The sequence below is a fragment of the Homo sapiens genome, chromosome 12, assembly GCF_000001405.40.
Source record: "Homo sapiens chromosome 12, GRCh38.p14 Primary Assembly".
NCBI lineage: Eukaryota > Metazoa > Chordata > Mammalia > Primates > Hominidae > Homo > Homo sapiens.
In genome coordinates this window covers 107,364,702-107,381,235 of record NC_000012.12, presented here as the reverse complement: position 1 = coordinate 107,381,235, position 16,534 = coordinate 107,364,702, and the positions used below count along the sequence as shown (strand labels likewise).

Below are 16,534 nucleotides of genomic sequence, written 5' to 3'. Positions count from 1 at the left end.
ACAGTAGTGGGCAAACCCAAGTCTCCACCTATGCAGACCTATCTTTCTAATAGAGGAAACAGACCATAAACAAAAATGCAATATAATATCAGGGAGAATGATGAAGACAAAGGCAGAATAGAGGAAAAGAGAGTAATGATGGGGGGTGGGTAGTGTAGACAGAATGGTCAGGAACAGCTATGCATTCATTAAACCAGTGGTCTCCAAACAGTTTTGATCACACATCCCTACCATTCTTATATATACCTCTCTGATATGTGACTATATATTTAATTATAGATTATACCAAACCTATAACTGAATATATAGTATAATATTAGAGACATATACATAGCATATATAACATTGTATATAATATACTGCTGTACTACCATATAATATAGGTCATTATAAAATATACATAAAGTATATAAATACTAAAAGGATGAGAAAAATGTTCTAAAACATTCCTCTTGCCCTTTCGTGCACATTCACGCATGTACCCTGTTTTAGAGACTATTGTGACAGAATGGCAGCTCAGCTCAGGGTTAAAAAGAAAAATGCAGACAAAGAAACAAAGCCACTCCCTGATCCTTGCTAATTACACTCAGCAGGCACCCCAAAATAATTTGTCAAATGACTCGGCATGGGGTTCAGTAGATGCTAGGTAAATCAGCCTTAGACAGGTCATTTCCTAATTCTTGGTGTCAGTTTCCCCATCTGTAAATACAGGGCGTGGTCCTCTTTCAGACCACACAGAAACAAAAACCTAGGTTCAGGTTCACTCAGCCTGTTCCCTGACCAAGAAGGGGCCAACTCAGTCATGTTGGGACACGCAGCCAAGTTCTGGTGTGGGCGGGGCTTTCATCTGCTGGCTTTTTATTGATTTTTACTGGTTTACATGGAAGGAAAAGAATGCAAACAAAGAAACAAAGGCACTCCGTCCCTAATCCCAGCAAATTATACAGAGATTCAGGAGAGTAATGAAAACCATAAAGCATGCTCTGAAATAAGAGCTCCCAATCTTCCATAATCTTCGGTGATAAAACGCAAAGCAGCAGGCCAGTGACACCCATTCGTAAACACTGGTTCTGTTTACCAGCGCTCAGTTCAGAACACGTTTGCTGGTGCTGAGAACCTCTACTGCTGTACTGCACCCCGGGAGTTAAGGGCAGGTCTTTTAAGGGTCACAGACGAATCACAGCATCGCGCAATGCCAGGGCTGCAAGGGGCCTGAGAATCTGTTCCGCTGGAAGGTGGATAGATGGCTGCAGGTCTGCTTTCCTTCTGAACTGCAGCCAGACACAACACTGTGAGGTGTTGGGGTGAATATAAGCCCATCGTTCAGTTAAGGAACTTGAGCCCAGATAAATCAACCTGATCCAAGGACATGGAGCAAGGAGTGGAGCCGAGATTCAAAGCTAAGGCTTCCTGGCAGCTTGTCCAACTGACCCTTGTTCTTCTAGAGGGCTCTGTAAGCTCCTCAAGGCTGAGTCAGTCTTTGTCATCTCTCTGTTTCCAACTGTCCCAGCACTAGGCTTTGCTGGTAGTGGGTAATGATTAATATTGAGGAAGGAAGAAAAGGAATGAGAGAGGATGGGATGTGGGGGATACTCAATTTGTGGCTGGTGTATTGGTCCATTTTCATACTGCTATGAAGAAATACCTGAGACTGGGTAATTTATAAAGAAAAGGAGGTTTAATGGATTCACAGTTCCACATGGCTAGGGAAGCCTCACAATCATGGTGGAAGGTAAAGGAGGAGCAAAGGCACGTCTTACACGGCGGCAGGCAAGAGAGTGTGTGCAGGGAAACTGCCCTTTATAAAACCATCAGATCTCGTGAGACTTCTTCTCTATCACAAGAACAGCACAGGAAAAACCCACCCCCATGATTCAATTACCTCCCACCAGGTCCCTCCCATGACACGTGGGGATTATGGGAGCTACAATTCTAGATAAGATTTAGGTGGGGACACAGACAAACCCTATCAACTGGTCTACTAACACCAAGAGCAATGCCAACAACCAGGACCATTTATGGAGCCCTTACTCTGCACCAGGTGGAGCAATGTGTGCTTTAAATGCAATGTCTCACCTACTTTTCCACCAACCCTATGGGAGTTTACTATTATCCCAATTATATAGAAGGGCAAAGGGAGGCTCAGAGAGGTTCAGTAAATTGCCTAAGGTCATTCAGCAGGTACATGGTAAGTCCAGGATGTCAACTTTGATGGCTCTGGTGCTTAACCACTACACCACACTGCCTGCTGCTGTGAGCAAAAATCAGGCTTCTTAAATTCCTTCTGGCACCATCTGTTACTCTGTGCTACAAAAGCAGGGGTGGCTCTCACATCAGATGCAGGCAGAATCCCAGTGACTCCTATTTTACAGCCTCTTAGGGAACCCCAATGCTTGTCCACAGGGCATGGCATGCAGCCAAAGACCCATCAGGGGACGTTTTCACAAGTGACAGAAGATCCATTCTTAGTCCCAAAGACAGAGGGAGCCAGCACAGTTGTAGGTTTGGGCATGAACAGTCAGGATGCGTTGTGACAAGGGAAACAGGGAAGGCGAGCCAGTGTGTGGAGGCAGAACTAGACAGCTCAAGGGGAATGAGGGCCGTAAGGGGACAAGGTGAGAGCCAAAAACATGAACTGGTGGGCTTCTCCAGGTGGAGGGGACTAAGAGGATGGGGTGCATTGTTGGACAGCCCTAGCTCCCCTACTTACTTGCTATAAGACCTTGGACAAATTACCTATGCTCCCAGAGCCTCAGATCCTCATGTATAAAATAGGACAGTATCTGCCTTATAGAGTTGTTATAAGGATGAAATACCATAGTGTACATAAATTGCTTTAAGCGCAGGTCCTGGCATATGGTGAGTGCTCAATAATTAATAGCAATTTGTGGTGGCAGTGGTGCAGTCATTGCCAAATGATGTGCAAAGTAAGGGGATGAGCAGGGAAGATGCCAGGAGGAAGCAATCCCATCATCCCCCAATATTTAAGTGACTTGAGGTTAAGAGACCATGTCTGCCTATAGCCAAGCCAAAGAAAGTGGTTAAGGGACATGCCCAAGGTTGAGTCACAAGTGTTTTCTGGACAGGGACCACAGCTGAATCATCTAATATTCCAGCCGTTGGCATTGGCTTTGCACAAAGGAAGCACTCCACTGGTGTTTGTGAAATTTACACATGGCTTGGTCTCCCGAAGTCCATAATGAGATTATGTTCCCCACTTTTTCGCTTTGCATGGTTCCCTTTTACTTCCCTACCAGATGATTCACTTATCTTCTTCCCACCCTTCTTGAGCGTCAAGTGTGTGTTGTGGTCCTTCTGGAAACTACGAGGGGATTAAAACAAGTCCAGAATGGGGCTGTCATTGAAGCAACCAGACTTAAACATTATTTGGCCACATCCTACTGCCTTTATTACATTTGGCCACATCCCACTGCCTTCCCAAAACAAGGTCTTCCTCTTGGCTGTGTGAGCTGTGTGCAATGTTAATCCCATTTCTGCCTTTCTCATTCCCAAACCATCCATCTTCAACAGGCATTTGCCAGAAATGACCATGGTGTATGTTTACAGTAGCTCAGCAAAGAGTTATTCGTCTAACCAGAAAACATCACAACTCAGAACCACAATGAGGAGCTAGATTGACAGTCACCTCCAAGCACATGGTCACCTCCAGCACATGGGACCCTCTAAGACCCACAGGGATCCAGGGGAGATGTCCCTGAGGCAAGTTGGGATTCCCAAGAAGCAAATAAGGAGATGGAGATGAGCATAAACGGAGTATACATGGGACACACACACACACACACACACACACACACACACACTCTTGCTCTCTCTCTCTCTCTCTCTCAAGGAAGTGTTCTTGGGCTCAACCCCAGTGGCAGGGAAGGGTGAGAAGCAAAACCGGACAGAGGGAGAAGTTAGACTGTGATGCAGTCTCAACAGAGGCCTCAGGCCATTCTGGTGGGTGTTAGCAAGCTAGGATGATGCTTCAGCGCTGTCCTAAATTGGTGCATGGGGGCTGGGCTTTTATACCCCTACATCAATCAGTCCCTGGACATGGGCTGCCTAGGGAGAGGGGTGAGACTTTGGCCCAGAAGCTCTCTCAAACAAGGTCAACTTCCAAAGCAGACAGAAAGCTGAGAGCTGCGCCAGCAGCACTCCCCTCAGCTGTGGGGGAGGCCCTTCAGTCCTGAAGGGGTATCTGAGCAGTGCATCTCCATGTCCAAGACAGTCCAGGTAGTAGCCACTGACGCTTTTTCTTCATTGAAAAGCAGAAAAACACACAGCAGTGGTGAGATGTTGGACTCTGGACTCAGACGGGCCTGGGCTCAAATGGAGAATCTGCCCCTTATACCTCTGGGCCCCTCACCTGAACAACAGGGCTGCTGAGAGCACCTTGCACATTCAGCGCGAGGGTTGTAGGGTTGAATAAAACAGCATGTGTACCTGGCATATAGTAATCACTCAATAAAAGGCAGCTCTGATCATTATTACATAACTCAGAATGAAGGAGAAAACTGTTTGCTCTGGGCCACAGCAGTAGTACTTGTTTCTCGGTGCTGAGAACCTCTACTGCTGTATTGCACCCCGGGAGTTAAGGGCAGGTCTTTTAAGGGTCACAGACGAATCACAGCATCGCGCAATGCCAGGGCTGCAAGGGGCCTGAGAATCTGTTCCGCTGGAAGGTGGATAGATGGCTGCAGGTCTGCTTTCCTTCTGAACTGCAGCCAGACACAACACTGTGAGGTGTTAGGGTGAATATAAGCCCATTGTTCAGTTAAGGAACTTGAGCCCAGATAAATCAACCTGATCCAGAGACATGGAGCAAGGAGTTTGCAGCATAAATGCAAATTCATTCATTCATCCATTCATCAAATATATACTCAAGGCCTACAATTATGTGCTGGGAACAGTTCTGGGGACCAGAGACGCAGTGGTGACAAAACAGAGAAAGCCTGGCCCTCCTGGAGTTGAGTGAAACAAAAGAACCAAATATGTTTGTAATACATACCCTGTGAAGGAAAATATGGCCAGATGAGATGACAGAAGGGGATGGCTGGAGCGCAGGGTGGTGAGGGAGGGAGAGGAGGGCATCTTCGAGGAGGGGAGCAAATACCAGACAGAAGTGAGGACGGGGGCCATGGGGTTGTCTAGGGGACACCATCCTGGTAGAAGGAACCGCAAGGGCAAAAGCTGAAGCTGAGAGTTGCTGGTCTTATTCAAGGAATAGCAAAAAGGGCCCTGGGCCTGGAGAGTGACAAATAAGAGATGGCGCATGGGGAAGTGGGCTGGAAAAGCAGCCCAGGCTAGGCAGGATGGTACACAGCCTCAGTCGAGGCAGGAACCCTGGATTCGACTCCCAAGGTGATGGGAGGGAAGCCTCTGCAGGTTTGAATAGGAGACACAGGTGAAGGGTATAGGATTCCTAGGGCAGGAAGAGAAGTCCATAAAGAACAATTGTCCAGCTGGGAAGAGGGCAGTGGAGGTGGAAGGGAGGGGATCACAGAAACCAAGTAGTAAGGAACCTCAGAGACCATCTGGCCCAGGTCTGGCCTCCAGCAGGTAAGTAACGAACATCACTGTGCTACAGACCAGGAACCTGAGCCCAGAAACTTCGCGCTACCTGCTAAGGGCTCCACAGCCAGTGAGAGGTAGAACGGCACCGGGCCCCCGGTCTTCTCCCCTGGAGGTGCCCCACTGGCCCACAGGGAGGAGAGGGCTTTGGTTTTGTTGCTGCTGTTTCTGCTGTCATTTTATTTATTTTTATTTATGATGATGATGATGATGATGATGATGATGATGATGATGATGATTTCTGACACCAGGTCTCACTCTGGTCCTTCAAGCTAGAGTGCAGCGGCACAATCTTGGCTCACTGCAGCCTTAATCTCCCGGGCTAAGGTGATCCTTCCACCTCAACCTCCTGGGTAGCCAGGATCACAGGCACATGTCACCACACCTGGCTAATGTTTTGTATTTTTAGTAGAGACAAGGTCTCGCCATGTTGCCCAGGCTGGTCTCAAATTTCTGGGTTCAAGTGATCCTCCCACCTCAGCCTCCCAAAGTGCTGGGATCACAGACGTGAGCCACGGCACCCAGCCACTACTGTTATTTTAAAGGGAACCCCTAACACTTAACACCTTAGTGTTTCCATTTCAGGGAGGTTCCTCAGTCCAGGAATCTGCTTGCTAAATGTTTTCTCTGTGTGTTGCATGACCAGAGGAAGCCAAAAAGACTTAACCTTTCCCCAAAGCCAGCTACTGCCTCCATCCCAAAGCATTCATTCAGGGCCCAAGAGAGAAAACAGTCAAAGATCTCAGGTGAGTGTGGGTACCAGAGCATGAGGAAAGATGAAATTATTCATTGTAGAGGAAAGCTACTCCTAAATGGTTTTTTGATTAGCTTATTTTTTCCATCAGAGCCGTTGGCATTCATCAACACTCTCAGATGTCCCTACAAACACAGGCTTCCTCAAAGGCTGTTCCTAAATGTTTCAGCTGGGTGGTGCCTGTAGGAAAAAATATGAGAAGATTCAGGGCCCATAAACAGAGAAGTCACTAGCTTGAAGCCGTCTTCCTCTGCTCGGGCCCAGAAAGCAAATGCTCCCCTGGGGTTCACTTTATGTATATAAAGCATCACTTTCAGCAGGACAGCCAAGAATCCTGGTCCCAGCTGGTTGGGTGGGGCCACGGAGCTCACTTTGAAAAGGCCAGGAAGGATGAAAGCACTCAGGAAAAGGGCCTCCCCTGGCCCCAAAGTGCAAAGATTTGAAAAGCCAACTTTGAACTTGGTGTGGGAGGGTCCCAGCCTGGGAGGGGGACATGAGGAGAGAGGAGTGAGTCGGCCTCAAACCCAGCCTCGAAGGGCAGGTGAGAGATCCTGCCCAGCAGGAAATGGGAAATGTAGGTTAGACAACTAGGGCAGTTCTGAAGCCGGAACTGTGTCTGTTGCGAAGTCAGGCAGGGGCTGTAAGATGTAGGAAGTAGAAAAAGGAAAGGACCCAGCAGACCTCAAAGCCTCCGATTTGGAAAACGGAGCAGAGGGGAGAACAAAGAAGTGCTCTGACCAGGCAGGAGGGTACAGGGCACCGAGGCAGACGGAGGGGAGGCTGCGGCTGCCCCCAGCCCCCTTCCCTGCCCACTCCCTCTGCAGGTAACGGGGCTGATGATTCCAGAACCCTCCCACCATGGAGACTCAGTGGGCTCACTCTGGGAGGGCTCACCCAGGCCTCTGCCCAGGACACACACTAACAGTTCCACCGGAAAGTCCTCTCCGCCTCCAACGTGTCCCGAGCTGTCTGCGCAGACTCCACTACAGCACTGATCCTGTCTGATTTTATTTGCTGGGCTGTGCATTCAGTTCCCCCACAAGTATTTACTGAGCATGAATGGAAGGCACCGGGCTAGGGAAAGCGCAGGATGCTGAGTTACGGGGCCATCCCTCTCTCCAGGGAAGAGAAAGTGCCGGGTCCCACAGCCCAGACACCTGGGCTCCAGGGTCCCCTCCATCACTTCCTGGCTGTGTGACATTGGGCACATTCCTCCAGCTGACTCAATTTTAGTTGCTTTATCTATAAGATAGAGGAGCTTGGAGATGGGGATGTGGGATGAATATGCTGGAAAGGCAAGCAGGGGTCAGGTTAAGGCCTCTGCATAATATCACAGCTGCCATTTATTAAGCATCTACTACTGTGTGTCTGGAACTGTTTTAGATGCTTTATGGATATCATCTCTAAACCTCACAATCACCCCCACTTCCTCAAAGGAAAGTGATGCTTTATATACATGCAGCGAACCCCAGGGGAGTGTTTGCTTTCTGGGCCCAGGCAGAGGCCCAGGAAGTGGGTTCAAGCTAATGGCTTCTCTGCTTATGGGCCCTGAATCTTCTCATATATTTTCCTACAGGCACCACCCAGCTGAAACATTTAGGAACAGCCTTTGAGGAAGTGTAGATGGGAATTGCTCCATCTACACACACAGATGCAACAGTAAATGGGAGAAAACCGGTGCTCAGCACACAGTAGGAGCACCGCCAGCCAATGCGGAGTTCATTCATTCTTCCAACACATATTTGTGTTTGCTAGGTGCCAATGTTGTTCTAGGCCAGTAGTTCTCAACCAGAGGTGATTTTGCCTCTCCCTCAGGGGACATTTAGCAATGTCTGGAGGCATTCTTTTTGAGGAGAGGGGGTGTTACTGGCAGCTACTGGGTAGAGGCCAGGGATGCTGCTTAACATCCTACCATGCACAGGACAGCCCCTCACAAGAAAGAATTGTCTAGGCCAAAATGCCAATGGTGTTGAGGTTGATAAACCCTGCTCCCGGCACTGGGGAGACAGCAATGTACCAAAGAGGCAATGTCCCTGCAGCTCACTTCCCAGGGCAGGAGACAAATGATGAACAAAGATAATAATAAGTCAATATCTCCAGGTCCACTGGTTAAAGTGCTACAAAAAATAAAGTAAGAAAAGGAGGAAAGAGAATGATGGGGTCATCAGGGACATACGGGACATTTGAGAAAAGCCCGGAGGGAAGCAAGGGGGTGAAGCAGTGGCTGCCAGGTGTGATAGAGGCTCTGGGGTGGGTGTATCTTCAGGTGTGGCAGGAAGTCCACGCAGCTGAGCTCAGTGAGCACAGAGGCGAATGGTTGTAGAGGAGGTCAGGGGTTTATTATGCTGATTTAGTCATGTGGACACCTTATGGCCCCCCTTGGTAATACACTTCTTGAGGACGCAGGCTCTATCCAACCTCTCAGTGCCACACACTTGCTGGAACCAAGCTGAGAAAGACGCCAAGTTGAATTGAATTTTGGCTCAGGGGAGGTGGTTTCCTGTATTATGAAATTTACATGAGATGAACTATCCCTGCTTTGTTCTGGTTTGGGGCAGGAAATGGGCTTAAATGTACTCTCAGCTTGTATTCTGTAATTGTTGCTTGGCTTTCATTCATGTGTCACTGGGGAAGGAGTTGCAAGACCTAACGCTGGTCCTGAGTACAATTTCAACACTGTCCTCTTAGCCTTAATGAGAAGATATATTCATTCATTGATCCAACAAATAGGTATTAAAGATGACAACAGGGCAGAATTGGGATGATGCAAAAGTAAATCAAACACAGATTCTTCTCTCAAGCAACTTACAGAAAATATATCTTCACTTTTTCAGATATAGGTCTTCACTTTTTTATGAAGTGAAGATACTTTGTCATATAAGGTACAAAGTACCAAATAGAATGAACACAGAACTATGAAGAAGACCAGATGAGTACCTACAGGACAGGAGAGCAAACAGTTTACATCTCACATGCCGATTCTCATCAGTAGCAGCTGCCTAGAACTGTGTTGAGAAGGATCCTGAAGTCCCATCTGAGTTCAGTGAGAAAAAGTGCTGTGCTTAATTAGTTATGTCTGCCATGATCACAGAACCCAAGTGGCAGAAGTACCAAGTATCTTTGCCATCCAAGCTGAAATGGAGATCAAATAAGTGGAAATGGATCTTGAAGAGTGAATTATGGCCTTCCTCTTCACATTTAACATAAAAATATAGCAAGTATACTGCACTATTAGGATGGAAATGGAGGAGGAGTAAAAAACTCAATTTCATAATCTATCTTGAGCGTACACTTATTTACCTCCTTAACTCCAGGAGTATTTAAGAAATGAGAGGGAAAAGCAACGAATCCTCTGCTAGTAAAGGAATAACTACAAAAGTCTAGGCCAGACTTTACTGCTTAAAATCAGAGGGCAACTGGCTCTGAAACGAGGCCAGCTCTGGGCATCTGGACTGAGTGCCCCTCCCCAACCCACCTCCATACTTCTCCCCTAAAGCTTCGTAGAAGCCTGGCAGGACAGCAGCTTAGTCTCATCCTAGAACAAGATTTGCCAGTCAAATCCTTCCTTCCCAGGGACTAGACAGACAGTGTGAGGCTGTTTAGCAACAGGTTTGGGGCAGATTTCCTAAATCTCCTTTCTCTCCAATCCGTCAGCCTGGCAGAAGCAACCTAGAGATGGGATTTAGTCTCATTCTGACACAGCACAGTTCCAGAATGATCTCCCTGCTTGCTACTCAAGCCGGAATCAAGCCAGAGCCTACATACAGGTCCCAGGATCCAGAGAGGAATGAAATTGCTTTATTAATATCATAAGGTTGGGGGGAAGGGAAGCATGTTCTGATGGGCTATGCCAGCAGTAAGTAGTTCAAAACACAATCCAAAGGGAGGAGGAGAAGGGGGGTGGGTCAGGACAATGCCCGCTGAGATAAACGCCCTCTGAGGGCTGCCGTATAGTAGGAGGTGGTCACCCTTCTTGGAAGGTGATAGCCTTTCTTGGCCAGTGTGCTGGGTCGAAAACAACTTTTGGATCCTCCTGCCTACCCTGACAGCCCTTCAAGGCTCAGCAAAGGTATCAGCACAGAGCCACAACCAAGGGATCAAAAGCTTAAGTCACAAAACTGTAAAAAAAAAAAAAAAAAAAAAAAAAAAATCCCTTTTTTGATAGGCAGCCAAAGAAGCACCTTCACAGAGCTGGCTTTGCATGGCCTTTCAACCAAACTATTTCCAGCAGCACAGGCTCAGCAGCCCCACCAGGCCACCCAGTCCAGAGCACGGCTGCAACACTTCCCATGCTTCCCTCAAGCCTGTGACCCAGAGACCATGCTTTGTCTTGATTTTTATCTATTTTTTCAGGGGAAAGGGCTGAGAGAGGAAGGGGAGCCAGGCAGAAATACTGTGTTCCTAAAGCCCATGTGAAGAAATGCCCAGGCAAGAGCCACACTCTGAGGACTCGTCCAACATTCCCGGCTAAGCATCTACATCTACCTTTGTCTCCAAGCCTGTGGGGCTGATTGGCTGACTTTGGAAGAAGAGAAAGTGTGTGTCCCTGGAAACCTCTGCAGTGCCAATGGAAGTGTGCTCATTGGTGGGAAGGTCAACGGGAAGCTTCCACGAACCGACATGGGCCACCATGGGGATACACAGAAGGAACGAAAGAACTGAGGAGAAGTCATCCATTAGCAGGCGAGAACAAGAGGCAGTGACATTTGAGGGATCAGGAATAATGTGTTCCCAATTTATACCTACCTTGGTGAGGCCTGGGGAAAACCACTTACTGTTAGAGTTTTTGTCTGGTGACAATGATCAAAGGGAAAATAACGTTTACTGAAAGCTATGCTTTTACATATATTCTAGCATTTAACTCTTACAGAATTCCTAGGCGATACATATCATCATCGCTGTTTAATAGATGTAGAAACGGAGGCTCAGAGAGGTTGAGGGAGTAGTTCAAGTTCACGTGGCTGTAAGTGGTGGAGCCAGGAACAAGCCTGGGTTCCTCTGACCCCAAGTTTAATGTTAGTTTCATTATGCCTCACCACCTCCCAGCATTACAGGAAATCATCAGGGCTCCCCTACTCAGAATACACCAGGCAAATTCTGCCAAACAAAACTCATTCTGTTTTATTTCTTGAACAATAAGGTGCAGAGAGCTCAGAAGAGAACAAAAGCTCAGAAAAAAAAAAAAAAAAAAAAAAAAAAACCATGTTTGGGCTGGGTATGGTGGCTCATGCCTGTAATCCCAGCACTTTGGGAGGCCAAGGAGGGTGGATCGTCTGAGGTCAGGAGTTCGAGACCAGCCTGACCAACATGGTGAAATCCTGTCTCTCTTAAAAATACAAAAAATTAGCTGGGTGTGGTGGTGGGTGCCTGTAATCCCAGCTACCCAGGAGGCTGGGGCAGGAGAATTGCTTGAACGTGGAAGGCAGAGGTTGCAGTGAGCCAAGATCACACCATTCACTCCAGCCGGGGTGACAAGAGCGAGACTCCATCTCAAAAAGAAAAAAAAAAAAAAAAACCCTTGTTTGAACCTGATTTATAATAAAGGTTGCATCTCATCTTGATGGGGAAAGGAATGGTTCTATAATGTCGAGAAAACTGGCTCACTAAATGAATTTGGATCCCTCTCAAACACAATATATGAAAGTAGACTCTAAGTGGATGAAAAACCTAAATGTGAAAGCAAAGTTACAAAGCTAACAGAAGAAAGTGAAACAATACCTTTGTGAACTTAGGGCATGGAAGGTCCTCTTAAATAAAATCCCCAAGGCACGAACCAAAAAGCAAAAAGAAAAAAAAGTTGGTAGATTTGATTACATCAAAATTAGGGCTTCTGTTCAACAAAAGACACTGTGAACAAAGTTAACAGAGAGGTGGCAGAGTGGAAAGTGATATTTACAATGTCTAAACCCAACAAAGAATTAACATCTAACTACATATGTAACTCCTATAAATCAATGAGAAAAGAAAGGAAATGCAATAGAAAAATGGTCTGTAGATATGAATAGGCAGGTCACAGAAGTGGAAACCAGAATAGTCAACAGGCAGATGAAAAGATGCTCAAATTCGTTAGTAATAAGATAAATGAAAATGAAAGTAACAATAGATTCCACATTATACTCAACAGATTTACAAAATTACAATGTTGAGTAATATTGATTGTTAAACAGGATATGGGTAAATGGGAACCCCTCCGCGCCACTGGTGGGGGTCTAGACTGGCATAGCAGTTCCAGAGACTCACCTGGTACTGATTATCGAAACCAAGTTTGTATAAACCCTGTGACCCGACCAACCCACTCCTGAGTATAGATACTTGCATGGGGTCCATATGGGAACAAGTGAAAGGAGATTGTTCCCATAATGACAACATTATTGTTCACGGTACTGGGGAATTGGATGCAACTAGTTGCCCATCATTAAAGAATGGATAGACACAAAATATGATGGGTGCCAACTATGTGATAGTCATTACACAGTTCACCAAATATTTCCAGTGTCTCCGTCTCTTAGATTCATAGTAGGCTTGCAGTTCCCACTGCTTTTAAAGTGGAGAATGGCCATGTGACTTGTTTTGGCCACTTCTGGGCAGGCTTTAAAAATCAGTGTGCTATTTGTCACCTTCTGGACAGAGCCTTTAAGAGCCAGTGTGTGATTTGCTACTTGCTCATCTCTCTGCCGTGTTGAATGGTGGAGGCTCCATCAGCCTACGTCTCCAAAGCAAAACTCTTATTAACGGGATGGATATGTAGTGGAGCCAAGCAGTAAACCTGCATAATTTTAAGCTGCTAAGATTTTTGTGCTATTACCGCTGCATAACTTAGCCTATCTTGATGGAGTTAACTGTGCAGCTGTTAGAAATAATAAGCTAGATGTACAACCAACATGGATAGATATTGAGAACATAGGTGAAAATGGAAAGATCAGGACAAGCTCCTTTGTGCAATATCGTTTCTATAAATCAATAACACACACACAGAAAGCAATTTTACATGTTTTATAAAGACATGTACCTGTTCAAGAGCATATATTAAACGCCTTGGATGAGTACCTACAGGGGAGTGGAGATTATAGACAAAAAAGTGAAGAACTAAAATGAGAGAGAGAGGCCGGGAGTGGTGGCTCACCCCTGTAATCCCAGCACTTTGGAAGGCCAAGGCAGGCAGATTGCCCGAGCTCAGGAGTTCGAGACTGCCCTGGGCAACATGGTAAAATCCCGTCTCTACTAAAATACAAAAAATTAGCCAGGGTGGTGCCGTTCGCCTATAGTCCCAGCTACTCGGAGGCTGAGGCACGAGAATCGCTTGAGCTGGGAGGAGGCAGAGGTTGCAGTGAGCCGAAACTGCGCCACTGCACTCCAGCTTGGGCTACAGAGTGAGACTCTGTCTAAAATAAATAAATACATAAAAATAATAAAAATAAAATATTAATAAAATGAGAGAGAGAGCCCTTGCATAATGATAAAATTTCCGTGAACTTCTGAGTATGAATAATTCAACCCTCTGTTGAATCCAAGATCCAAAACAAAAAGGAAAGAGGAAAAAGTGTAAATCATTTTTCTTGGTTGACTTCAGTATGCATTTTAAACTCTTCATGCCAATCAGTCAAGCACAGAGTTTCCTTTTCCTCACCAAATTTTAATCAACTTGGATGGGTTTTCACTTCACAATCTCTATGGTTACCACCCCCTTGGTATGAAGGTATAGGCTCATACCCATTCACAGCAGCTACTGCCAATCTTCCACCTCACTGTGATCCGGGGAAGGCACCTTCCAATAAAGGACAAAGAAGCAAGCAGTCTGATGAGACAAGAACCGGACTGTACCAACTGTGGCAAAATCTAAGCAAATCACCTGTGTCCCAACTATTTGGGGAGTGGTTGGGGGCTGTGCTCCAGCTGACTGACAGGTTCTCAGCAAAGGACAAATGGCCAACAGGCACAGCCAAGTGGGGAACCCTACAAGTTCTGCTCAGGCCTCACCTGTAGGAAGTGATGCAGGTCTCTCAGTGGAGTGCTTCTGGCACCCTGAGTTTGCAATGTCCTTCCTGCCTGTTCCCAGGATACCATGGGATCCCTTCCAGAAAGAATAATCAGTAACTCAGATGCAAGGAGTCACTTTCCTTCTCATGCATTAAAAAATATATATTTTCTGTTGATAGGGTACCAATATAGACTCAATGTGGATTATAAAATTGTCTATTTTCCACCCCATTTTCACTTTAATAGTAAACCATGTTTGCTAAATCTCCCAATTAGAGGCTGAAGAAAAACCGTGCTTCACTCTTAAAGCTGCATTTTCACTAATTTGGTCGCTAGTTAAGGGTTGAAGAGAGATGGCAGCTCCCAAGCCTACATGCTGCCCTCCTCCTAGCCCACTCCCCAGCAGGCATGACTAATCAATCTCCATATGCTTTTCTCCTAAGCCTGAACCTTTTCTGCAGCCTCAAATGGTATTCTCCAGAGTTGTTTCCTGGTGTTAGGTTTTTTCCTTTTTTACTCTCTTCTTCCTTTTTTCTTCCTTGTAAAGGTTTTAGAAGAGGAGGAACATGTTCAGTCTTCTATTCTCAGGAGAATAATTATATCCAGAGACCTTATGTACGATGCTTTCTCTGGAAAATAGTTGTTTTCAAGGTCCCTGGCTTCCTCTCTTAGTTACTCATTCAACAGTCATCTGTGAACTGCCTACTGTGTGCTGGTGCTTAGGGTGTCAAGCACTGAAAGACATTGATAAAAGGTTCAAAGAGGCACAAAGCAAAAAGGGACCAACCAGCTGGGAAGGCAGGGTGTGGCAGGGTGGGGAAGGCTTCCAAGAGAAGGTGGCACACTCTCAGCAGCCTTCTAGAACAGTGACTATGGCCTGAAAGGTGCTCATGGCAGTGATGCTATCAGGGATGTGTGGTGTGTTCTCAGGATATGTTATCCCTTATCTGGGCTTCATCAGCTCCCAGGGGTGCCCCCCATCGAAGCCAACTGTTGACGGATCTCAGTGTGAGGCGGTTTCTGATGACCAGCATTCCTTTAGAGGCTGTCAAATTCCATGAATGCTACCCAGCTGTGAATAAAGTGTTAACTTTTCACTTTCTGGTGGGTCAGTTGCCTCAGGTGGCATCACTCACTGCAGCAGGTAGGGTCATTCACTGCAGTGCAGTTGTCTGTTAGGATCTGTGCAGTGCCAAGCTGGACCTACCCAATATCACAGCACATCTCCTCCTTGGCCCCTAAAATTCCATCCCATCATGGCAATGGCACTTTAGGGAGGAAAGAACATGGTGGGACAAGTTGGGGGTCATAGCAAATGACATTTACTGCACAGCCCCTACATACCCACATTGGTAGGTGCTTGTATCAGCTCATTCAACCCTCCACAACTTGGGAGGCAGGGAAGAGTTGAAGAAGATACCCAAATAATCTAGTACAGCTGGATTGGGATTAAAATCTGACATCATTATGAAGTTGATAGAGAAAAAAGGAAAACACCTATTTTTTTGTGTGTCTACTCTGTGTATTGTGTCCATATATGTGATTTCCTTCATATCCCCCAAAACTCTGAACAATAACTATTATTATTCCCATTTTACAGATGAGCAAGTTGAGGGTTCAGAAAAGTTTGCTCATCCTCATCATCACAACAAAAAATAACAATTACTATCCATGAACACTCAACTTTGTATCACGTTTTGCAAACACTTTATATCTATTATCTTATTTAATTATCACAGCAACCCTGTGATGTGGGCACTGCTACAACCACTTTAACTGTGAAGTCACCGAGTCTAAGAAAGGTTCAATAACCTGGTCAAGGCCATACATTCAGTAGGTGTTAGCTCTGGAATTCAAACTCAAGGCTGTCTGACTCTAAGTCCATATTCTCAAACACTGCGAATGCTACCTCCCAAATGTGTGCTATGTACTGTGTACAGAGTACTGGAGCAACCACTGTGACAGAGAGCAACACCTACTACCTCCCAGGGGACTCCATTTGGCCTCTTTGCTTGTGTGGAAGTTATTCCTTAGATCAAATCTTCAAAGGAAGAAAAACCAGCTTTAATAAAATTTAAAATAAAATTTTGGCAGCGCCAGCCTTCAGCAACAATAGCTTGCACTTACACGTACTGCATGCCATGCAGGCTTTCGAATAAGCACTAGACATATGGTGACAGACATACTGCTGCTCACCAATATTCCTGGTGTCCCGCTGCTTCTGGGCCC

The 16,534-nt window shown here is 46.1% G+C and overlaps 1 protein-coding gene and 1 non-coding gene across 6 annotated transcripts in view; both read right to left on the bottom strand.

Moving 5' to 3' along the window:
* Positions 1-16,534, bottom strand: part of ABTB3 (ankyrin repeat and BTB domain containing 3) — a 341,209-nt gene that overhangs the window by 278,407 nt on the left and 46,268 nt on the right. The gene's annotated exons all lie outside the window — the stretch shown is intronic.
* LOC124900324 (small nucleolar RNA SNORD74) lies at positions 6,407-6,489 on the bottom strand. The gene has a single exon (XR_007063628.1). It is a non-coding gene; the product is annotated as a small nucleolar RNA SNORD74 (small nucleolar RNA).